At 48.6% G+C, this 24,599-nt stretch overlaps 1 protein-coding gene, 1 long non-coding RNA gene and 1 other non-coding gene across 28 annotated transcripts in view; 2 read left to right on the forward strand and 1 right to left on the reverse strand.

The window, feature by feature from the left end:
- Positions 1 to 24,599, forward strand: part of CTIF (cap binding complex dependent translation initiation factor) — a 324,187-nt gene that overhangs the window by 110,265 nt on the left and 189,323 nt on the right. For 23 of the 24 annotated variants that reach the window (XM_047437960.1, XM_047437965.1, XM_017026100.2 and 20 more), the window contains 3 exons: positions 14,457 to 14,530; positions 15,152 to 15,256; positions 21,374 to 21,449. In XM_047437960.1, coding sequence (XP_047293916.1) covers positions 14,457 to 14,530; positions 15,152 to 15,256; positions 21,374 to 21,449 — 255 coding nt within the window. Of the gene's footprint in view, positions 1 to 13,634; positions 13,826 to 14,456; positions 14,531 to 15,151; positions 15,257 to 21,373; positions 21,450 to 24,599 lie in introns of those variants that run through there. The other variant, XM_011526278.4, reaches the window with a different exon arrangement.
- On the forward strand, positions 21,305 to 21,373 carry MIR4743 (microRNA 4743). Its single transcript, NR_039897.2, has one exon. It is a non-coding gene; the product is annotated as a microRNA 4743 (primary transcript).
- The window catches only part of LOC105372107 (uncharacterized), a 30,901-nt gene continuing 30,531 nt past the window's right edge, over positions 24,230 to 24,599 (reverse strand). For all 3 annotated transcript variants that reach the window (XR_007066460.1, XR_001753440.2, XR_007066461.1), the window contains one exon: positions 24,230 to 24,381. This is a non-coding gene — a long non-coding RNA (uncharacterized LOC105372107). The remainder of the gene's footprint in view (positions 24,382 to 24,599) is intronic.

Consider the following 24,599-nt stretch of genomic DNA (forward strand, 5'->3'; position numbering starts at 1 on the left):
TTATATCCTGCAGCTGGCTCAGCGGGTCCCATGCCCATAGAGCCTTACTCACTGCTAGCGCAGCAGTCTAACATTGACCTGTGAGGCAGCAGCCTGGAGGGGGAGGGGCGTCTGCCATTGCTGACGCTTGAGTAGGTAAACAGAGCAGCTGGGGAAGCTCGAACTGGGCAGAGCCAACCATAGCTCAGCAAGGCCTGTTGCCTCTGTAGACTCCACCTCTGGGGGCAGCGCATAGCTGAACAAAAGGCAGCAGAAACTTCTGCAGACTTAAACATCCCTGTCTGACAGCTCTGAAGAGAGCAGTGGTTCTCCCAGCATGGTGTTTGAGCTCGGAGAATGGACAGACTGCCTCCTCAAGTGGGTCCCTGACCCTTGTATAGCCTAACTGGGAAACACCTCCCAGTAGGGGCCGACTGACACCTCATACAGGCAGGTGCACCTCTGGGACAAAGCTTCCAGAGGAATGATCAGGCAGCAGTATTTGCTGTTCTGCAATATTTGCTGTTCTGCAGTGTCCACTAGTGATACCCAGGCAAACAGGGTCTGGAGTGGACGTCCAGCAAACTCCAACAGACCTGCACCTGAGGGACCTGACTGTTAGAAGGAAAACTAACACACAGAAAGGAATAGCATCAACATCAACAAAAAGGACATCCACACCAAAGCCCCATCTGTAGGTCACCAACGTCAAAGACCAAAGTTAGATAAAACCACAAAGATAGGGAGAAACCAGAGCAGAAAAGCTGAAAATTCTAAAAACAAGAGCGCCTCTTCTCCTCCAAAGGATTGCAGCTCCTCGCCAGCAATGGAACAAAGCTGGATGGAGAATGACTTTGATGAGCTGACAGAAGTAGGCTTCAGAAGGTCGGTAATAACAAACTTCTCCTAGCTAAAGGAGGATGTTTGAACCCATCATAAGGAAGCTAAAACCCTTGAAAAAAGATTAGACAAATGGCTAACTAGAATAAAGAGTGTGGAGAAGACCTTAAATGACCTGATGGAGCTGAAAACCATGGCATGAGAACTCGTGACGCATGCACAAGCTTTAATAGTCAATTTGATCAAGTGTAACAAAGGATATCAGTGATTGAAGATCAAATCAATGAAATAAAGTGAGAAGAGAAGTTTAGAGAAAAAAGAATAAAAAGAAACAAACAAAGCCTCCAAGAAATATAGGACTATGTGAAAAGACCAAATCTATGTTTGATTGGTGTACCTGAAAGCAAAAGGGAGAACCAAGTTGGAAAACACTCTTCAGGATATTATCCAGGAGAACTTCCCCAACCTAGCAAGGCAGGCCAACATTCAAATTCAGGAAATACAGAGAACACCATAAAGATACTCCTTGAGAAGAGCAACCCTAAGACACAAAATTGTCAGATTCACCAAGGTTGAAACGAAGGAAAAAATGTTAAGGGCAGCCATAGAGAAAGGTCGGGTTACCCACGAAAGAAAGCCCATCAGACTAACAGCAGATCTCTTGGCAGAAACTCTACAAGCCAGAAGAGAGTGGAGGCCAATATTCAACATTCTTAAAGAAAAGAATTTTCAAAAAAAAAAGAGAATTTTCAACCGAGAATTTCACATCCAGCCAAACTAAGCTTCACAAGAGAAGGAGAAATAAAACCCTTCACAGACAAGCAAATGCTGAGAGATTTTGTCACCACCAGGCCTGCCTTACAGGAGCTCCTGAAGGAAGCACTAAACGTGGAAAGGAACACCCAGTACCAGCCACTGCAAAAACATGCCAAATTCTAAAGACCATCGAGGCTAGGAAGAAACTGCATCAATTAACGGGCAAAATAACCAGCTAACATCATAATGACAGGATCAAATTCACACATAACAATATTAACCTTGAATGTAAATGAGCTAAATGCCCCAATTAAAAGACACAGACTGGCAAATTGGATAAAGAGTCAAAACCCATCAGTGTGCTGTATTCAGGAGACCCATCTCACGTGCAGAGACACACATATGCTCAAAATAAAGGGATGGAGGAAGATCTATCAAGCAAATGGAAAACAAAAAAAGGCAGGGGTTGCAATCCTAGTCTCTGATAAAACAGACTTTAAACCAACAAAGATCAAAAGAGACAAAGAAGGCCATTACATAACGGTAAAGAGATCAATTCAAGAAGAGCTAGCTAACCTAAACATGTATGGCCCTAATACAGGAGCACACAGTAGACTCCCACTTAGACTCCCACACAATAATAACGGGAGACTTTAACACCGCACTGTCAATATTAGACAGATCAACGAGACAGAAGGTTAACAAGGATATCCAGGACTTGAGCTTAGCTCTGCACCAAGCAGACCTAATAGACATCTACAGAACTCGCCACCCCAAGTCAACAGAATATACATTCTTCTCAGCACCACATCGCACTTATTCCAAAATTGACCACTTAGTTGGAAGTAAAGCACTCCTCAGCAAATGTGAAAGAACAGAAATCACAACAAACTGTCTCTCAGACCACAGTGCAATCAAATTAGCACTCAGGATTAAGAAACTCACTCAAAACCACACAACTACACAGAAACTGAACAACCTGCTCCTGAATGACTACTGGGTAAATAACAAAATGAAGGCAGAAATAAAGATGTTCTTTGAAACCAGTGAGAACAAAGACACAACGTACCAGAATCCCTCGGACACATTTAAAGCAGTGTGTAGAGGGAAATTTATAGCACTAAATGCCCACAAGAGAAAGCAGGAAAGATCTAAAATTGACAAAGATCTAAAATCGACACCCTAACATCACAATTAAAAGAACTAGAGAAGCAAGAGCAAACACATTCAAAAGCTAGCAGAAGGCAAGAAATAACTAAGATCAGAGCAGAACTGAAGGAGATAGAGACGCAAAAAACCCTTCAAAAAATCAATGAATCCAGGAGCTGGTTTTTTGAAAAGATCAACAAAATTGATAGACTGCTAGCAAGACTAATAAAGAAGAAAAGAGAGAAGAATCAAATAGATGCAATAAAAAATGATAAAGGGGATATCACCACTGATCCCACAGAAATACAAACTACCATCAGAGAATACCATAAACACCTCTACACAAATAAACTAGAAAATCTAGAAGAAATGGATAAATTCCTGGACACATACACCCTCCCAAGACTAAACCAGGAAGAAGCTGAATCTCTGAATAGACCAATAACAGGCTCTCAAATTGAGGCAATAATGAATAGCCTACCAACCAAAAAAAGTCCAGGGCCAGACAGATTCACAGCTGAATTCTACCAGAGGTACAAAGAGGAGCTGGTACCATTCCTTCTGAAACTATTCCAATCGAAAAACAGGGAATCCTCTCTAACTCATTTTATAAGGCCAGCATTATCCTGATACCAAAGCCCGGCAGAGACACGACAAAAAAAGAATTTTAGACCAATATCCCTGATGAACATCGATGTGAAAATCCTCAATAAAATACTGGCAAACTGAATCCAGCAGCATATCAAAAAGCTTATCCACCATGATCAAGTGGGCTTCATCCCTGGGATGCAAGGCTGGTTCAACATATGCAAATCAATAAATGTAATCCATCACATAAACAAAACCAACGACAAAAACCACATGATTATCTCAATAGATGCAGAAAAGGCCTTTGACAAAATTCAACAGCCCTTCATGCTAAAAATTCTCAATAAACTAGGTATTGATGGGATGTATCTCAAAATAATTAGAGCTATCTATGACAAACCCACAGCCAATATCATACTGAATGGGCAAAAACTGGAAGCATTCCCTTTGAAAACTGGCACAAGACAGGGATGCCCTCTCTCACCACTCCTATTCAACGTAGTATTGGAAGTTCTGGCCAGGGCACTCAGGCAAGAGAAAGAAATAAAGGGTATTCAATGAGGAAAAGAGGAAATCAAATTATCCCTGTTTGCAGATGACATGATTGTATACTTAGAAAACCCCATCGTCTCAGCCCAAAATCTCCTTAAGCTGATAAGGAACTTCAGCAAAGTCTCAGGATACAAAATCAATGTGCAAAAATCACAAGCATTCCTATACACCAATAACAAACAGAGAGCCAAATCGTGAGTGAACTCCCATTCACAATTGCTACAAAGAGAATAAAATACCTAGGAATCCAACTTATAAGGAATGTGAAGGACCTCTTCAAGGAGAACTACAAACCACTACTCAATGAAATAAAAGAGGACACAAACAAATGGAAGAACATTCTATGCTCATGGATAGGAAGAATCAATATCATGAAAATAGCCATACTGCCCAAGGTAATTTATAGATTCAATGCCATCCCCATCAAGCTACCAATGACTTTCTTCACAGAATTGGAAAAAACTACTTTAAAGTTCATATGGAACCAAAAAAGAGCCCGCATTGCCAAGACAATCCTAAGCAAAAAGAACAAAGCTGGAGGCATCACGCGACCTGACTTCAAACTATGCTGCAAGGCTACAGTAACCAAAACAGCATTGCACTGGTACCAAAACAGAGAGCTAGACCAATGGAACATAACAGAGGCCTCAGAAATAACACCACACATCTACAACCATCTGATCTTTGACAAACCTGACAAAAACAGGAAATGGGGAAAGGATTCCCTATTTAATAAATGGTGCTGGGAAAACTGGCTAGCCATATGGAGAAAGCTGAAACTGGATCCCTTCCTTACACCTTATACAAAAATTAATTCAAGATGGATTAAAGACTTAAATGTTAGACCTAAAACCATAAAAACCCTAGAAGAAAACCTAGGCAATACCATTCAGGACATAGGCATGGGCAAGGACTTCATGACTAAAACACCAAAAGTGATGGCAACAAAAGCTAAAATAGACAAATGGGATCTAACTAAACTAAAGAGCTTCTGCACAGCAAAAGAAACTACCATAAGAGTGAATAGGCAACCTACAGAATGGGAGAAAATTTTTACAATCTACCCATCTGACAAAGGGCTAATATTCAGAATCTACAAAGAACTTAAACAAATTTACAAGAAAAAAAACAACCCCATCAAAAAATGGGCAAAGGATATGAACAGACGCTTCTCAAAAGAAGATATTTATGCAGCCAAAAGACACATGAAAAAATGCTCATCATCACTGGCCATCAGAGAAATGCAGATCAAAACCACAATGAGATACCATCTCACACCAGTTAGAATGACAATCATTAAAAAGTCAGGAAATAACAGATGCTGGAGAGGATGTGGAGAAATAGGAACACTTTTACACTGTTGGTGGGAGCATAAACTAGTTCAACCATTGTGGAAGACAGTGTGGTGATTCCTCAAGGATCTAGAACTAGAAATACCATTTGACCCAGCCATCCCATTACTGGGTATATACCCAAAGGATTATAAATCATGCTACTATAAAGACACATGCACACGTATGTTTGTTGCGGCACTATTCACAATAGCAAAGACTTGGAACCAACCCAAATGTCTACCAGTGATAGACTGGATTAAGAAAATGTGGCACATGTATACCATGGAATACTATGCAACCATAAAAAAGGATGAGTTCATGTCCTTTGCAGGGACATGGATTCAGCTGGAAACCATCATTCTGAGCAAACTATCACAAGGACAGAAAACCAAACACCACACGTTCTCACTCATAGGTGGGAACTGAACAATGAGAACACTTGGACACAGGGCGGGGAACATCACACCCCAGGGCCTGTGTGGGGTGGGGGGCAGGGGGAGAGATAGCATTAGGATAAATACCTAACGTAAATGACGAGTTAATGGGTGCAGCAAACCAACATGGCACATGTATACCTATATAACAAACCTGCGCATTGTGCACATGTACCCTAGAACTTAAAGTATAATTTAAAAATAATAATAATAATAAAAATACAAAAATTTGCTGGGTATGGTGGCTTGCACCTGTAGTCCCAGCAACTCGGGAGGTTGAGGCAAGAGAATCGCTTGAACCTGGGAGGCCGAGGTTGCAGTAAGCTGAGATCACACCACTGCACTCCAGCCTGGGCCATAGAGCAAGACTAAAAAAAAAAAAAAAAAAAAAAAGAAGAATAAAAAAAGCCGGAGTGACTGAATGAGGCCGCAGGAAGCAGAAAGCAGGTTGCAGGCTGAGAATCCTGTTTTCTCCACTCTCAGCTCAAACCAGACCCCCTGTCCCACAGCTAGCTCCCCAGGGAACCCCGTGTCCATGAAGTGAGAGAACCGTATTAGGGTCGGGCTTGCCTCTTGCCCTCATGGAATCTGGAAGGACATCCTGCACTGAGAAGGGTGTGGACTGGGACTGGGAGTCCTTTGGGGAGTGGAGACTGCACCACCTTTATCTCTCTCATGCCCAGAGCTGGGTCCTGCACAGCCCAGCTGCTCAGTGACTGAGGGTGCACTGTATCAGGGGGTTTCCATTCAGGAGGCCGGGGCTGAGGGCTGGCCACCTCTGCCCCAGTGTCACCTGATGTAGCAGGCCTGCTAGGGAAATCCACACCAGCCTGCCCTAGAATTCTCTAGGGGAAACTTCCCCCATGACTGTCCCAACAATAGAGAGCATCCTCCCGCTGTCCTATCCCATTCAGCCTAGTTTCTAAACACTCACAGCCTGGAATTGTCATTACACACATGCCCCCACATATGCACTTGCACAGCAAAAATCACTGCACAGTTGTGTATTCATAAAGAAAAGCCAGCAGCTAGAAGATTTGTTGTTTTCACTGCATCTGACTTTGTATGTTTTTCTATCATACAGCAACTCACTCTCACCTTGTTGCATTCATGCATGTGTGGAGACCGCAGCCTCATCGCATACCCACTCACATTCCACAATCCCTCTCTCTTCACTGCAGATGATGCACTTCCTCCACCAGCACTGCCTTCCCAATCATTAACAAAGATAGGTGTGGAGAATACAGATGCTTGCAGGGGAGGGATACGTTCCTGCTTTATGGAAATCTCTGCAGTGGGTTCAGTTTACTTGACTGAATAGAATAACTGCATGCATAGTGTACAGTGGTTAGAGCATGGCCTCTGGGCCACACTGTCTGTGCTCCCATCCTGGTAACTGGCTCCATGAACATTGGCAGGTGCTCTGTGCCTCAGTCTCCCCATCAGTAAAATGGGGATGGTGATCATACTATCTGCTTCTTAGGGTTGTAGTAACAGTGCCACGCTTGGGCAGTGCTGGCACATACTGCATGCTGGGTCAATATCTCCTATTGTCATCATCTTTATTCTTGGCCCTTTTAGGAGTCTGACCTCCCCTGAGCTGGGGATGTCTCTGAGGCCTTCCCAGAGACAACTTCAGTTTCCCTTCCCACAAGCAAGCTGTTTCCATTTGATTTTCCACATGGCTTAAAGTGCTCATTATCCCTCTGTGATCTGTTCTGCCAGCAGTATGGTGCACCCTGGTATGGGGCCCCCTAATTGCCAATAAAAGGGGCTGTCACGAAGGATTCAGCAGTGTTTAAGTGCTAAGAACAACCCACTGAAAAGGATGATTGTTTTTGATAAGGCTTCTCAGAACCTTGGCATTTCAGCAACCGGGGGGGCAGGGCCTGGATGCTGTCAGGGCTGGAGAGGATGCTGTGCTCAGAGGGAAGCTGTGGTTACCAGGGCCAACCATGGAATTGCCAACTGCAGAATGTTCTTTAAGAGGCCACTGAGGTTTTGATGGGTAGCTGACAGTGCCCAGCCACTGAGTCTGTGCGAAGAAATATTTAATGAATGACTCTGGGTCCCAAGGCTAGGACGAGGGGTGAATGGGCAGGAAGATACAACAAGGAAGTGGAGCCACGGTTCCCACCATCGAAAGGGGAGAGAGTTAACAGAAAGTGTGTTAGCTGAGTATTTCCCAAAGGGGGTTCCATGGAACCCTAGTCCTGCAAAATTCTCTGTGGAATGAAAAGGAAGAGTGAGGTAGATTTCTAGCCAAAAACCTTGGGAAAGAAATATTGCATACTCCACTTCCACATATGTGAAGAGTTAACATCCACTGAAGAAGTTCTGCAATAAAAATTTCAACATCGTAACAATTTTCTACATTTTAATAATGTATTAGCAGTCTTATCATTCAGTATATACCAAACATTTGACTATATAATCTTTTTGATTTTTTTCCCTGTTAAAACTTGAACATTTTGAGGAATGAGGACCATTTAGAGGAATGAGGCTTTCTGAAAGCATCGTCTGTGAACCATCCCAGCTACACTAAATTTAAACCACCAACCCTCCCTTCTCTCAGTGATTCTGATGCACACTGACATTTAGAGCCAGGGGATTGGTGCTTCCAGAGCACCCCGGGGAGCTCTGCAGTACAACAATGACGAGAGGAATCAGCTCTGCACGGGAGTGTGCAGGGTACGTGCTGTGAACGGCATGTGCTATGAGGTTCACAGGGTGTGGGCTGCTGAGGAGGCTGCAGAGCTGCAGAGAGGAAGAGTCCTCAACTAGATCCTAGCAGGAAGGAAGACTCATGGGAGTGGGAGGGTGTGGAGAGAACATTCTTTTGTTTTCACTGAGTCCAGGAAGAGTATAGTAGCCTAAAGTGAAATATAACTCCATACATGCTGCTGCTTCGTGTGCCCTTGAGAGGCAAGTCCAACGCTTGCCTGGGATGAGCCGAGCTTGGGTCCCCTTCTTCTCTGTCCTCAGCTTGACAGCCACCTCTCTGTATGGGTCCTCAGTGTGAGCCAGAGGTGAGGGTGGTGGGAGAGAGAGGTGGGTCTGTTTCCTGGTGAGAAGTTCCAGAACTCAGGTACAGTCTGCCTGTGAGGGGTCTGCCTGCAGGCACCTGCCTTCCTGCTTCTCTGACTTCTCTGGCTTCTTTGGACATTCGAGGGTTTGTAGAACAGCTGACACATGTATGTGTATGTGTGTGTGGTACATGTATGTTTGTGTGTGATGTGTGTGTATGTGTGAGGTGTATATGTGTGTGCATGGTGTGTATGTGGGTGTGGATATGTGTGTGTGTGTATATGCCTGTGTGCATGGTGTGTATATGTGTCTTGTATGTATATGTGTGTGGTCTACATGCATGTTGTGTGTGGCATGTGCCTGTATGTGTGGTGTATATAATATGCATGTAGCATGTGATGTGCACATATAGTTGTAGTATACATGTATACCACATGTATATATGTGGTGTGTGCACATATGTGTGTTTGGTGTGTATATGGGTGTGGTGTGGATGTGTGTGGATGGATGTGTATATTGTATAAGTGTGGTATATATATGCATGTATGTGTGTAGTATATACATGTATGTGTGTGGTGTGTACGTGTGTATATGTACGTGTGGCACACATTGTGTGGATGTGTGTATGCATACCATGCATGTGTGTGTATGTATGTGTGTCTGGTATGTATATGCATGTATGGTGTGTATTATGTGGATGTGTGTGGATGTGTCTGTCTAGTATATGCATGTGTGTAGTATTGTGTATATATGTGTCTGTGGCATATGTACATGTATGCATATGCGGCCCTGTGGCATGTGTACATGTATGCATATGTGGCACTTGTATGGCTGTAAGCATTTGTCTGGCTCCAGAGCCACGTGGCAGGGCTGGGTGACAGAGTGGCCACTTGGGTGCTCAGCCCAGGGCAAGTGGGCCCTGGGGAAGGACATGTGAAAACGTTGGGCTCCTGGTTGTCCAGTTTAGCTTGGCAGTTAATAACTCTGTTGCGTGAGGCCTGGCCCCCTGGGCACTGCCTGGGCCACCACCTCAGCATCAAGGGACAGCAAAGGAAAGCTCTGCAGGTGAGACTCTTCCTGCTCTGGGCTAAGGCTGGAAGGAGATGGATGTCTTCTCCACGTGCTAGGCTATTTCTCCAGCCCCTGTTGATGAAAGTTTGCCTTTAGTGGTTATATGCCTGTCTTGTGCCATTGAAACAAACCCCAAGGAGGTGTCCAGATTCTTGATATGCACTGCAGTTCTTATATCAAGTAGAGTGGCAATAAGGAGTGCGGCCCCTGTGTCCAAGGTGTTGCCCTATACCTACTTCTCCAGAGACTCAGCTTCTCGTCTGCCAGGCCCCGAGTCTTCATGGCGATCTCCTTCCTGATATTCAGACAGAGAGGCCCGATGCCTTGCCCACTGCTCTCCTCCATGTGTCCAGCTCAGCGGCTGGGGTCCTCATTCTTCTCAGTGCTGTCACCTCCACCTGCTGCCTCCTCCAGGGCTGCTGAGCTTCACAGCTCCGGGGGTGCTGTCCATATGATATTCGTTCCTGGAGCTGCACCCCCAGGGCTCCCTGGAGCTGTGCAAAGATGGGGTCCGGCTCCTTGGTTTGTAAAGGGCTCACCTTGCTGGCACTTTTGTTCCTCAGCTCTGAGAATCAGAGTTGCAGTCATCACGGGGGAGGGAATGAGGCAGGAGGCCGGTCAGTGTGAGAGTTAACAAGACTCAAGCCTTGTGGCAAAGGAGAGGTGAGACCCGGCCCAAAGGCCCAAGGTGGGCTTGGGGCAGAGACCTGTGGGGCAGAGCGAGAGAGGAAGGAGAAGCAGCCTGGTGCCGAGTTTTCCAGCCTGGGGAGGGAGACACAGGAGTCAGGAGGCTGAGCCACAGGGCGGGGGTGGCTAAAGAAATACGGTGTGTACTGGGAATGGCAGGGATATCGCTGGGTTTCTTGTCATTTAAATATGGATGTAGGCTCTTGATGTCGTTCAGGGATATGTTCCCTGAGTTGTTGTAAGGAGTTGTGGGGATTCAATGAGGAAAATGTGTGAGTCTGTCACCTGTGACGTGTGTCGATTGTGTGACTGCCATGGCTCTTGGAGGAGCACTGGTTGCCACCGTGACTCCACCACCTGCTCCCCAGCTGGGCCATGGCCTCTCTCCCCAGGCTCCTCTGGGAATGGCAGGGATATCGCTAGGTTTCTTGGCATTTAAATATGGATGTAGGCTCTTGATATCGTTCAGGGATATGTTCCCTGAGTTGTTGTAAGGAGCTGTGGGGATTCAATGAGGAAAATGTGAGAGTCTGTCACCTGTGACGTGTGTTGGTTGCGTGACTGCCATGGCTCTTGGAGGAGCACTGGTTGCCACCGTGACTCCACCACCTGCTCCCCAGCTGGGCCATGGTCCCTCTCCCCAGGCTTCTGTTTTTCACCCCCAACATGGAGATGGCAGCAGCTGATCACAGGGCTGTTCTGCAGATGCACGGAAGGGTGGGCTTCCTCTGTAAAGAATAAACACATACATGCAGGCACAGCTTCTGCCCTGGCTCTTTCCCTCCCATCAGCTGGGAGCACATTTCCCTGACCCCAAGAATCTGGAAGTCCAGAGATTGGTGGGTCCCCCGCCAGGGATACTGCTTTGGAAATGCCCAAGTTTGCCCTGCCCAGTCACCTCCCTTAGCCCAAGGGTAGTGCCCCCTCCTCCAGGCAGAGAGGTTCCACCAGCTCTCTGCACAGGGGCATTGGCCCCCTCACAGCTGCTGCCAGTGACTGTTACTGTGACCTGTCCTCGCTCCCTGCCAGTTGAGGAGTAGTAGCCAAGATGCCAACCTGCAGGCCAGGAGGGAGATTTATGTGCCCATCTGCACTGCCCTTCAACTGCCTTCAAGGTGAATCACCATCTTCCTGGAAGATGCTTTGCACTTCTAGGTTTGGCCATGACCTTCTCTACATAGTTGCTCTCTCTTTCTATCTCTCCATCCATGTTTCTTACTCTCTAAGGGCCTTACGGGCCTCGGATCCTAGGACGGTAAATCATTCTTGACATCCTAATCTTGATTCAGTCTTTCAGCCACAGAGGCAGTAGGGTCGTGCTTCCTCCTGTTACAAAGTGGCATCTCCTCAATCAGTTGGCAGGAATCCAAGCTGGCCCTCCTGTGTGCCTGGCTTGGCCACTGTGGGGGCACAAAGAGAAAGAGGCAGTCCAGTGGAAAAGATTACAGTCTACTTGGGGAAGGTCTAACATTCATGTAAGAGAGCAGTGACCAAGAGGTGATCCACTGAAGCTGAATTTATAGGCGCCAGAGAACATTGGGTATTTAACAGATCAGGGATTAGGGAAGACACGTGTGGAGGAGAGGCTTCAGGTCACTGGGCTGAAGGAGGAAAATGAACTGCATGCTGAGTGAGGTCTGCAATAGATGCTTTGGAAGCAAGAGTTTTGTTTGCATGTATGATTTTTTTTTATCTTTGCTTTCTATGTTATTTTTGGCTGCTATCCCCAATGATAATTACATTCGAGGCCCAGGAGGGGGGTGTGAACAAGCCGGTCAACATCTCGGGAGGCAGGGGCTGTCCCCTTGGGGGTTGTGTGATAGAAGGTGAGTCTCTCTAGCTGACCTGGAGTTTCAGAGTTGCACTTGGAGCAAGCAGGGCCCCAGGAGTTGGAATGGGGAGGATGTGAGGCAACTCGAAGAAAAGGGAGAGAGGACGATCCTAGAACATTAGGGGCCACCTGCTTGGAGGACTGGCAACCATGCTGTAATTGATTAGTGATATCTGCCGCTGGCAGGAGAGGGGATGGTAGCAGCACGCATGCCAGTCAGAAGGAGCCCATCTACAGGGCATGGTATTTCATTCTGGGATCTCTTTATTTAAATATGAAGAATCTGAAGTCCAGACTGGTGAAGTGACTTTGCCGAGGTCACACAGTTTATTGACGCAAAAAGAAAACGCATGTTTAAAGAAGATGGTGAAAATCTCTTGCAGTATATGTCAGGAGCACTGAGCTTCCAGCTCTGGGGGACCCAGGGGGTCCCTGCCATCAAGGGCCCGCTATCTCCTGTGGGAGAGAGGTCACTACAGGAAATAGAAGTGAGAACTGCAAGAGGCCGGCTCTGCTACTGTAAGTCACCCACACAGATAGCAAGTTCAGGGCAGAGCGAGGTGACTGCAGTTTGGGAGGCCAGAGGTGCTTCCTGGCTGAGCCAATCTTTGACAGATGGGGCACATTCGGAGAGGGCAAGAGGGGAGCAAGGCCCAGTTGACAGGCCATGGTCAGGAGCAAAGGGGATTACGGGGATGGGACAGGAAAGGCATGGGGAGAAGCACCCAGGGCCATGGCGGCCCTGAATAAATGTGGCTGATCTGCTAGAAAGGATTGTGCAAGCTCTCAGGGCAGCCTGGAATGAGGAAGTTTCAAGTTACTTAGACCTGCAGGCTGTTGGTGCCCAGAGAGAGGGACCAGTGTTCATGTTATCAATGAGACCCAGGAAGGCTGAGGGACTTGCCCAGAGTCAGACAGCCCAGGTGGTTCTCCCCAGACAGTCCTCTTGTCCCTTCGACTCCATAAGCCCTCCACCTCTCCTCCAGGCTCTCATTACCTCCTGCCTCCTGTCTGTGGCGGCTGGAGTGCCTGGCCCCTTCTGCTTGGAGGCTGGACTGTCCAGCCTTCCCGGTTTTTGTGCCCTCTCCTTCTAGTTAATCAAAGCTGCTCGCTCTCTCTGTCTCTCTCTGGAAGAGAGATTGGTTTCCTCTTCCAGTTACTATCTGAGTTCTTTCACTATACATTCGTTAGTTTGCCTGTTCCTGAACATAATTGGTTCTCTTTTGCATCTGGGTTCTTTTGTTCCCTGTATGCTTGTGATATTTATTCATATTGCTGCATGTTATTTTACTTTGTTTGTGCTCACTGCGGTGTGATACTCCAATATGTGAACATACCACGGTTTATTTATCGAATCAGCTGATGACAGGCATGTGGGTGGTCTCCAGTTTGGAGCTGTAATGGCGGATGCTGCTGTATACGCTTTCTGTACATGTCTTTTGGTGAGCATCGGGCACATTTCTGTGTGTTTATACCTGGGAGTGAATTTCTGGGTCATACGGCGTGCACACGTTCAGCTCAGGTGGATGTGGAAGTATTGTTTTAAAGAGTGTGACGATGGAAACCAGATTGCAGGGGTAAGAAGGGCTGGAGGGCATCAGGTGCGGTCAGGGGTTGGAGAATTTGCCAGGGAGCTCACCAGCCAGAGAGCAGAGAAACCAAATCATAGAAGCTGCATTGAGTAAAGAGGTTTCTGTCTCTGGGGTGGGTCACATAGGGAACACTGGAGGATCGGCTCGACTCAGAGAAATCCAGTTGCTGGTGTAGCCTTGGTCGGTGGGGGCTTCTGGGGAGTAGGACTGAACTGTGAAGGAAGGCAGCCTCCATGGGCTCCCCAGTGGGCCTGGCTCTGCAGAGCCCCTCCCTGGGGAGAAGCCTCAGCCATCAGGCTGGCAGTGGTGATGGTGGCTCTGGGTGGTACAGAGCCCTTGCTGGGTGTGGAGGCTTTGAGGAGAGAGCCATGGGCCTGGGGCAGCAGGGGCCTGGACCCTTCTGTATACATCTATAAAACCTCAGTGAAACGAGGGCCTATGCCTGGGGGGAGGCCAGGAGACCCCCAGGCAGTCCCCTGACTCTGACTGGGTGCACCAGCCACCATACTCACTTGGGGGCTCACTCCAGCCCCCCAGCCCCTCAGGCCCTGGCCCCGTGTTCTCAGCATCCTGGCCGAGCAATTAATGTCAGCCCTTTCACCCCCATCTCTTCCAGAATGGCAGCAAAGACAACTCTCTGGACATGCTGGGCACGGACATCTGGGCGGCCAACACCTTCGATTCCTTCAGGTAACCTCCTCCTCCCTCCTTCCCTGTGGTGTGAGGTCCAGCCGGGGAAACTGGCTTCCTTGGGGACGGAATGAACGCTGATGGTTCATGAGCAAGAGGCAGAGAGAAGCAGAGTAGGGGATGTAGGAAGGATGGGGTGGAAAGAAGGCCGGAGAGAGGAGGCGGTGAGTGTCAACGGGAGACAGTGGAGGCATGGGGAGGGCCCCCGGGATGGGGCTGCAGAGGCTGGGCCCCGCTTCCCACTAGCCTGCCTCATCTACCTCAGGGTGGCCGGGTCGTCACTTTGAGCTGCTTGTCAGAGGCTGGAGACTGGCATTTGGCCCCTTGCTCTCCCTGGCCTTCCTCAAATGTGGGCACGAAAACAAACTCAGGTGTTGCAGAGGCCGCTGTGCAATGGGCATCAGGCCCACACTTGTTTCATAAGCATGCACTTTCCCACGGCAGGGTGAGGAAGGTGAGGGGTGGCACCTGGGGCTCCATTCTGAGTGGGGCTCCCCGCCTGGCCCCTGGCGGCTCCTTTCTGCGGATCTGCTCTGCCAGGTTCAGCCTGGCCCCCTGGTTCCGTCAGTAACTGGGCTGTTGCCCTCTTGCCTCCGTTTCTCACCCTCCCTCGCCCTCTAGTGGTGCCACCTGGGACCTGCAGCCGGAAAAGCTGGACTTCACCCAGTTCCACCGCAAAGTCCGACACACGCCCAAGCAGCCCCTGCCACACATCGACCGCGAAGGGTAAGGGGTGCTGGGGCTCTTACCCAGGGTGGGGTGGGGCAGGGGACGGGAGTGGCCTTTGCCTCCACAGGGAGGCTGCTCTGCTGCACAGGGGACTCAGGTGGCTGATGCCCCGGGATGCTCTTCTTATGCGTCCCAGAGCTGCAGGCTCACTGGCTTCTCCTGGAATCCCTCCATTTCCCTCTGCCCAGCCCCCTCTAGCCATGCCATCCCCACCTGCTCCTGATGACCCACAGTGGCCCTGCTTGTCAGTAATCCACGCCAGCGCAGCAGAATCACCTGGGCGGTGGCACAGAGGACAGGCCCACCCCAGAGTCTGTGATTCCGTAGGTGTGGACTGAGGCTGTGTGTTTCTTTCTTTTTTTTTTTTTTTTGAGACGGAGTCTCGCTCTGTCGCCCAGGCCGGACTGCGGACTGCAGTGGCGCAATCTCGGCTCACTGCAAGCTCCGCTTCCCGGGTTCACGCCATTCTCCTGCCTCAGCCTCCCGAGTAGCTGGGACTACAGGCGCCCGCCACCGCGCCCGGCTAATTTTTTGTATTTTTAGTAGAGACGGGGTTTCACCTTGTTAGCCAGGATGGTCTCGATCTCCTGACCTCATGATCCACCCGCCTCGGCCTCCCAAAGTGCTGGGATTACAGGCATGAGCCACCGCGCCCGGCCTGAGGCTGTGTGTTTCTAACAAGTTCCCCAGCGGGTGCTGATGCTGGTCCAGGGACCACACTTGGGGAGCAGCTGGTGTCATGCCTGATTTTACACTGGCTTTTCTCACCCTCTATGACTTTGTGTGGCAGGGTTGCCTTCCCTTTTCAAAAGTGGTGTCACAGCCTGGGCAGACCTCAGGACGGGAATGTGACTCCAGCGAGACACAGAGGTGTGGGACAAATGGCTGCTCCTTCTTTTATAGTTTTATATAATTTTTAATGAGGCAGAATTCCCATACCATAAAATTAACCATTATAAAGTGTTCAGTCCACTGGCATTTAGTATGCTAGACCTGTTGTGCAACTACCATGTCTATCTAGTTCTGAAACATTCTCATCATCCCAATATAAAACCCCATACCCACTAGGCAATCATTCCCCATCCCATCACCACCCCCAGTCCCTGGCAACCACCAATCTGCTTTCTGTTTCTATTAATTAATCTATTTTGCATACTTACAGAAACAGTCATATGTGACCTCTTGGGCCTGGCTTCTTTCCCTTGGCATAATGTTTTTGAGGTTCATTCATTATAGCATGTAGCAGAACTTTATTCCTTTTCATGGCTGAATACTAGTCCATTGTATGGATATACCACAATTTGTTTACCCATGCATCTATCAATCCTTACTTGAGTCATCTCCACCTTTTGGCTATTGTCAAAAATACTGCTGTATCTTTTTGAGTCCTTGCTTGTAATTACTTGGGTGTATACCTGGGGTGGAATTGCTGGGTTGTATGGTAATTCTGTTGAACTCTTTGAGGAGCTGTCAAACTGTGTTCCATAGCAGCTGAATATTCTGCATTCATACCAGCAATGTATGAGATTCCAATTTCTCCACATCCCCACCAGCACTTGTGTTTTTTTTTCTTTCTTGGTTTTTGTTTGTTTGTGTTTTATTATGATACTGATGACCCTTACTTTTCCTTCCAGCCCTCCCCTGCTCACTCTTGTCTCCCTTTCACTTCAGGTCTAAGTATTAGTGACTTTACTGGACACTATCCTACATCTCACATGTCTTCCTGCTGCTATATTTGTCCCACTCAACCTCTCCTCTTGGCAACATTGGTCCCATCATAGTGTAATGAGCAACAACCCGTGGAAAGAAATGGGCTCATTCCTACTTTAGAGATGAGGAAAATAACACTCAGAGAAGCAAAGTAACTTGCCTGAATAACAGAGCCATCATTTAAGGCCAGGCCTTCTGACACCATCCAACCCCTAGTTCACCACATCAGGGTATTCTTAACCTCCTTAAAATTTTCTGCAAATTTGTATGTGTGCATGCACACGTGTGTGTTGCTGGGGAGAGGCCCATCACTTGCATCCGACTCTCCCAGGAGACACCAGCCTCTCACACGCCTCTTTTTCATTGCCCTCCCTGTTGTGGGTTCCATTTCTCTTTGGGTGAAGAGGGAGAGATGGCTTTGCGCATGGAGGCACTGGTTAAGATGGAGCATAGGAGAGACACAGCTGCAAGGCTCCCGACCCTACCTTACCCCATCCACCCTGCTCACTGCCTGCTCAGCCCACTCATTCAGTTGCAGGGAGGCCATGCTCCTTCCAGACTGCTGAGCTGCACAGGGCTGGGCCTCCACACTTCTGTGCTTAGGAAGGATGGCCTTACCTACCTTTCTCAGTGGGTCAGCTTCAGGAAGGGGTTGTGAGCAAAGGTGATGCTTGCCCAGTGTCCTGTTGCAACAGTGTAGCGGAGCTTGGGTATGCCACAGGAATAGGAGCAGGATTTTGCTTTTCTCAAGTTCAGTGTAGCCAGTCTGTCACTAGACCTGCTGGGTCCCTGCATGGTGCTGGGTACCAGGAAAGTAGACACACACACACACACACACACACACACACACACGAGTATACAATACAGTCCCTGCCCAGAAGGACTGTTTATTCTACTGGGAAAAGGAAATATGAACCTATTCATGATGGAGACTGTGTAGGGGAAGAAAGACTAGACTATGCGGTGTAGACATACAGACTAGACTATGCAGTGTAGACATATAGACACCATAAAGACATATATAGACAGGTATAAAGTGTGATGCCTGGTGCAGGGTTAAATAAAGTCAATGCAAAAGGGGTTAGAAAGGAGAGCACTTTACAGGTTGAACCATCTGGGAAAGGCTTCAGGAGGGAGACTTCCCTGGGCAGCTCCAGTCTCTCCTGTGTGCCCCGGGAGCACATAGCTGGTGACGTCAGTGGGGACACTGAGGCCTGGGGAGATCGAAGCGATGGTGCTGCCTTATTGACTACAGGTGCCCAATGGGGCCTGCATGTTGAAGGCAAGCTTGCCAAAGTGTCTCACCAGTCCCCAGAGATGAACTAACTTCCTAGCAAAAAAGCGATGAATAACTATGAAGGAGAGGAATTCCCCTTATGCCGAGGGACTTTGTCCCTTCTGAAGCCAGAGTAACCAGCCACACCTGTGTCACCAGCTGTGGGCCTAAATTCCTCGGCCAGTCTCACTTTCTCACCAGGAGCCTCCAGATTTGCTGAGAGTCACCTGGGGTCTCCCATGGATATCTGGCTCACTAGCCAAAGCCTGTCACTCCCAGGTTCCCAGGGAGTCTGAGTGCAGTGTCTGTGGCCACCTCATGGCCAGACCAGGAACTGTGACCCCCTTAGAGTCCTGCTGTAGTGGGGACACACTCCATGCGCCAGCCACTGCAGCCTTCCTGGGATGCAGGTACCACTCAGTTGCCAAGGCTCCCTGCAGCCTGTGTTTCCATGGAGGGACAGAAATCAGAGAAGGCTGTTGCCTTGGAAACCCTGTTGGCAGCAGTGACTCAGCTGGTCTGTAGCCACCTTCAGCCCTCCAAACCTGCAGGCCTCTGGGGAGATCTGAGCCCTGACGAGGGCAGGCCTCGTGGGACAGCAGCCCTCCCTGCAGGCCTCCACCTGCCCACCCCCAGGGGCGCTGAGGCGAGAACAGAAAGCTGTGTTTGGAGTGTGCTAGGCTGGTGCCCAGCGTGTGCTTGGAGCTCAGTGCATGCGAGAGAGTCCTGAGGTGTGTTTTACCCACAGGAGACACTGGGGAGGTGGTATCAGCCATTCTAGTCAAGCCAAGTCCCCAGTGCCCTCCTCCCCTATGGCCCAGGCGGGTGCAGAACACAGAAGACTACACGCAGTTGGTGCTTTCACAGGCCAGCCTGTCTGCACCAGGCAGATTGATGAGTTAAGAGATGTTTGGATGTTCCGGGCCTTTCTCCACCTGCTCACCTGTAGCCCCAGCACATCACAGTTGTGGGGACAGCCGGGGGCCGGGGGAAACTTTTTCTTTTCCTTCATGCCTGTTATACCTTGCACACCATTCCCCACCCCAGCTCCACCATGCCCCTTGCCTACCCCTTGCACCCTGACCCCTAACATGCTCTAGCCACAGCAAACTGGCACCACACATGCTCCTAACTCTAGGCCTTTGCCTGCGCCGTGTCAGCCTGGGACATCCTCCCAAATTCCCTGTGCTTGGCCAGCTCACCTCTCACCTTCCTCCTGCCCCTCGCCCAAGACAGTTCTAGACGCTGCTCCTTGGGGTTCCTGCAACGATCCCTTGTCCCCAGCGGGGCACTTGCTGCTCTACTGTGGGGGGTGATTATCCCGCCAGACACCGAGAGGGGCAGTTGTGTGCACTGTTTACACCTGGGTCCCAGACCCTGTCCAGAGCCGGGCACAGAAGTGTTTGGTGAATGGAGAAATGAGCCATCAAATGGGGCTTGGGTTAGCCCCCTGTTCTCTTCCACCCAGGCCTTTGCTGGTGTTTGCAGCTAGTTTCTCCTCCTCTGGGTTCCAGGGCGCCTCTGGCCATAGGACTTTTATGACACCGATCTCGTGCTGCCCCCAGTGGTGCTCCGGCACCCAGCCCTGTTAGAGGAGTTTAGGATTTGTTCTAAGGGCCATCCACTGTCTGAGGGCAGGAACCAAAACTGATTTTTTTTTTGGTTCACAAGGCCCAAAACAGAAGAGATGCTTGGTAAATGTTTAAACAATGAACTAGTTACTCTGAAAGGTGAGATTCGTATGAACTCTGCAGCTGGAAAATGACCCAACTCATGGGACATCTCTCACCATTCCTCAGTCAATACCAGTAATAATAGTAACTGACAATACTTACTATGCACCGGCCATGCTCCAGCCTCTGTTCTAAGTGTTTGCCTCATTTATTTAAAACTCGCCACCACCCAGAGAGGGAGGAACTGTTACCATCTTCTCTTCAATAGATGAAGCAACTAGGAGACCCAGAAATTGAGTAATTTGCATGAGGCTGGGTTGGCTCCAGAATCTGTGTCCTTAATTAATCACCCTCCTGCCTCTTTGCCTAAACAACAGCAACAATATTAGTGGTAATGAAAGTAGTCATAGTAGTAGCAATATATTTACTTCATTATTTATTTTAATTTTGTTATTATTACCAGTATTTACCATTAAACATATGTGTGTATGTTTAAGATATATTTAATGGTAAATACAGATAATAATACATACACAAGAAATATACACACACACATTTATAAACAAACAAGCTAAACATTTATATATATATATATATATATATATATATATATATATATATATATATAAGCTAGACTATATATGTGTGTATATATGTACCGTTTACTGTGGGCTGTCACAGTTCTAAGCATCTAAGCACTCCAGATACATTCATTAATTTAATCCTCCAGCCACCTTAAGATGTTAGACACTATTATCCTCATTTAACAAATGAGGAAACTCATTTGATGAAATGAGTACAGAGAGGTTAAACAACTTGTACAGGGTCCCCAGTTGGTAAGGGATGCAGCGGGGATTCAAACCCTGGGAGTCTGGTTTCGGAATCTGCACCCTTAAATATGCCAAAGATTCAGACCTCTGGCCAGGGAGTTGGGGCCAGCCTCTCTGGCCCGAGGGCACGCCCACTCACAGAGGACATGAAGACAAAGCATAGACTATCTGAGTGGGCTTGCTGGACTGACCCAGAGTCAAGCCAAAAAGGAAGGAAGCCCTATTGGGTTTTCTGCTAGCCCCTGCCAGCCTATGTGACCTTGAGAAAGTTGCTTGGTGTCTCTGTCCACTGATCTTCTGTTCAGTGTAATGGGGCAAGGTGGATGGGCTTTGACAGGAGTTGTGATGAGTAAGGAGCTTAGCTTCTCTGCCTGGAAGGAGCAAGGGGAACTCTGGTTCCTCTCCCACCTCCCTCCAGGTTGGCTGTTGCATTACGGGAGGACCCCCCCCCCACACACACACAGCTTCTCTAGGGCTGTTTCCTCTAGGTGGGACAGCCCCTGCAGGGCTTGAGGGTGGGCAGCACCAGGTATCTGCTGACTGTCCCTCCTCTCCTGCTGGCCGGATGGGACAGGAGGCATGAATGAGCCATCTTTCCAATGCCTTTCTGTCTTTTCTGGTCCAGGTGTGGCAAAGGGAAGCTGGAAGATGGGGATGGCATCAACCTGAATGACATCGAGAAGGTCCTTCCAGCCTGGCAGGTAGGTGCAGGGGCAGGCTCTCTAACAGCCCACCCCCACCCCTGGAGTCCTGATCCTCTTCCTGGACAGGACCTAACCAAAGCACTCCTTCTGGCTGCTTGTTCCAGCAAGGAGTGTAACCGCCTGTATGGTAGTAATAGGCAGGGCTGGCTACCTGCCATTCTCCAGGGTGTCCCATTGTGATCGTGTGTGTGACAGCCTACTCGGTGATGCTGCAGGCCCTGCTGGCAGGCCTGATGTGCCCTAGAGATGAAATAGACCATGCCCTGGCAACTCAGTGAACTTGGAAGTTTTTGTCCCTTGGCCTGAAACCTCTCTGCAGGTGAAGTGTCCTGTGGTGTGTTCAGGTGGGACTGGCAGGCCTGGAAGAGATTCTAATGTGGCTGGGGCTGTCTTTAGGCTTTTGAACAGTGGACTTGCCCTGCTGGCCTCCAGGTGTCTGCTATGCTTGCTCTTTTTTTTATTGATTGGGCCTCTTTCCTGGAATCAGGCCAGGTTCCAGGACAAAGAGGATTCACTCAGTGAATCCAGGTCTCTAGATACTTATAGTGCTGGACTTTTGGTGGAAACAGCAGGAGTCTAGCTGCTCTCAGGAGTGTGACTGGGCCTGCTGCAGGGGTGTAAAAGCAGTGGACCTTCCACAGTGACTGAGTCTGCCGCTGCCAGTGACCATGACCTACCACCACACTCCACTGTGCCACCCTTCCCTTCTCTCCTGATTCTTCTCCTGCTATTTTATCTATATCCATTCATCTCTTCCTGGTGCCTTTGCCATTTTGTTTCTTCTCTGTTCATGCCTTGGGCCTATCAATGAGAGACAATAGAGCATACAGTTAAGACCTCATCTATTTGATTATGATGTGCCTTGGTGTGGTGGTTTTCTTCATGTTTCTCCCACTTGGGATTTATTGAGTTTCTTGGATCTGTAGGTTTATAGTTTCATCAAATTTGGAAAATTTTCAGCCACGATTCCTCCTACTTTCCCTCAACCCTGGGGTTCCAATTGTATGTATTCTATGCTTCTTCATCTTTTCCCATGGCTCACCAAAGCTCTGCCTGATTTTTTAAAGTCTTTCTTTACTCTCTGTGTTTCATTTTGGATAGCTTTTATTGCTATTTCTTCAAGTTCACTAATATTTTATTCCAGTGTCAAATCTACTGTTAATCCCATTCAGTATATTTTTCATTTCAGACATTGTAGTTTTTATCTCTCGAAGGTCATTGTGGGCTTTTTTAATAAGCCACTGTGTCCAGCTAGAATCTGCATTTTTAAAGCATTGTAGGAAATTCTGATTATCAGCAAGAGTTGAAAACTTAAAGTCCTGGCTGATAATGCTCCTGGCTTGACTGCTCCTTGGAGTATCTACAATTCACATGGGTACCCTTAGGACAAGGTAGACAGGCTTCTTGATCCCCAAACACAGACTTTTGGTGTTTGAGGAATTTGCGGTCCTGTGAGAGCACAATGGGATGACTTATCTGAGTTTTCCTAGTGTTCTTCAAAGCCCCTCATAAATAGGGCTGGCTGGTTCACTCGTCTGGCCTTGGGTCCTGAGGGTCAGCTGGCCTAGCTATTAGCATATGTGGTGGGGACAACTCTTAATAGTATGGACGTGTCCAATGCAATGTGGGATATTTAGGACTCCTGGCCTCTGCCACTGAATGGCCGTCACTGGAGAGGGGCAGGCATAGTGACCACCAAAAACATCCTCCTACTTCCAGATTCACCTAGGAGATATTGTGCATCCAGCTGAAGGCCCCCAAATGGGAGGGAAAGCCCACCTCTAGCCTGAGGACCTCCAGCCCTCCTATGGGAGTCTTGAGCCTGTACATAGATAAGCGGGCTTCCTAGAGACTTTCTTAGACAAAAATCAGGGCTGGCCTCCCCTCCCTACCTGGAGGCAAGAAGGAAAGAGGGTGACAAAGGGAGGTTGGCCTCAAGCCCATTGCCTACCTGCCCTCCACTTCTGCACCCCAGAAGAAGAGGGGCATAAAGATCCTACCAGCTGTGTCCCCAGCATGTTCTCAACCCACAGAGGCCCAGACCCCCATCTCCGGCCCCTTCTGTCCCTGTTCGGACTCCTTAGCAGGCAGGAGGCTTTGTGATGTTCTCAGCACCCTTGCCCAGCCTCTGTCCTGGGCTCCCCCTGCCATCCTGTGGCCCTGTCAGTCCCTCCCCTGATCTGTTCTGATCTTCCATCTCTCCTTGCTTTCTCACCAGCAGGCGGTTCCCTCTGCCTAAAATCTCACTCAGCCCTTCTCTGCCTGTCCTTTTTCTGGCTCAGGATACCTCCCCTGATCCCTCTCAGATGCACAGGATGGAGTCCAGCATCCACCTGCCATTTCCCCAGAGCCCCTGCCCCCATCTCTGTGGCATGGCTCCCACCACGTCGCACCTGCTTACATAACTGCCAGACTCCCTTCCTGGACTCTGGGCTGCCTGAGGGCTGGGCCATTTCCTTCAGCCTCATAACCCCAGCACCAGGTGCTCTAGAGTGAGTGCTGCTGAAGAACCTCCTTTCTAGATGTGCTGTTGTGTTGTCTAGAGTGTACAAGAAAGGCAGGATTTGTGTCTGTCTTGACACTCAGTCGTCCCTCTGTCTCTGAGTTTCTCCCACCACTTCCCAGCAGAAATTCAGCATGAACCTGGTTATGCTCTTCTCGGTGTGATTTCTGAGACACATTTGTTGTTGTTGTTGTTAAAGAAAACAGGATTTTTCCATCGTCTCCTGTATTAGGACACTATAGGCCATGGCATAATACTAAACAAACCCCACATCTCAGTGGAATCACACACAGAATTTTATTTCTAACTTTCTGAAATTCTGCTGAGGGTCCAGCTGGTCTCCAGGGTAGCTCCTTGGGGACTCCAGGGTCCAGGTGGATTGCGTTCTGTGGCCCTGCCATCTCAATCCATGGTATCCAAGTGGCCCTGGCACAGGCAAAGAGAGCTGGAGGGTCGTGTTCTAGGTCAAGCTTGGCCAACCTGTGGCCCAGGATGGCTTTGAATATGGCCCAAAACAAATTTTTAAACTTTCTTAAAACATTATGAGGTATTTTACAATTTTTTGTTTTAGCTCATCAGCTATCATTAGTGTATTTTATGTGTGGCCCAAGACAGTTGTTTCGGTGTGGCCCAGGGAAGCCAAA

This window comes from Homo sapiens, chromosome 18 (assembly GCF_000001405.40).
Source record: "Homo sapiens chromosome 18, GRCh38.p14 Primary Assembly".
Lineage (NCBI taxonomy): Eukaryota > Metazoa > Chordata > Mammalia > Primates > Hominidae > Homo > Homo sapiens.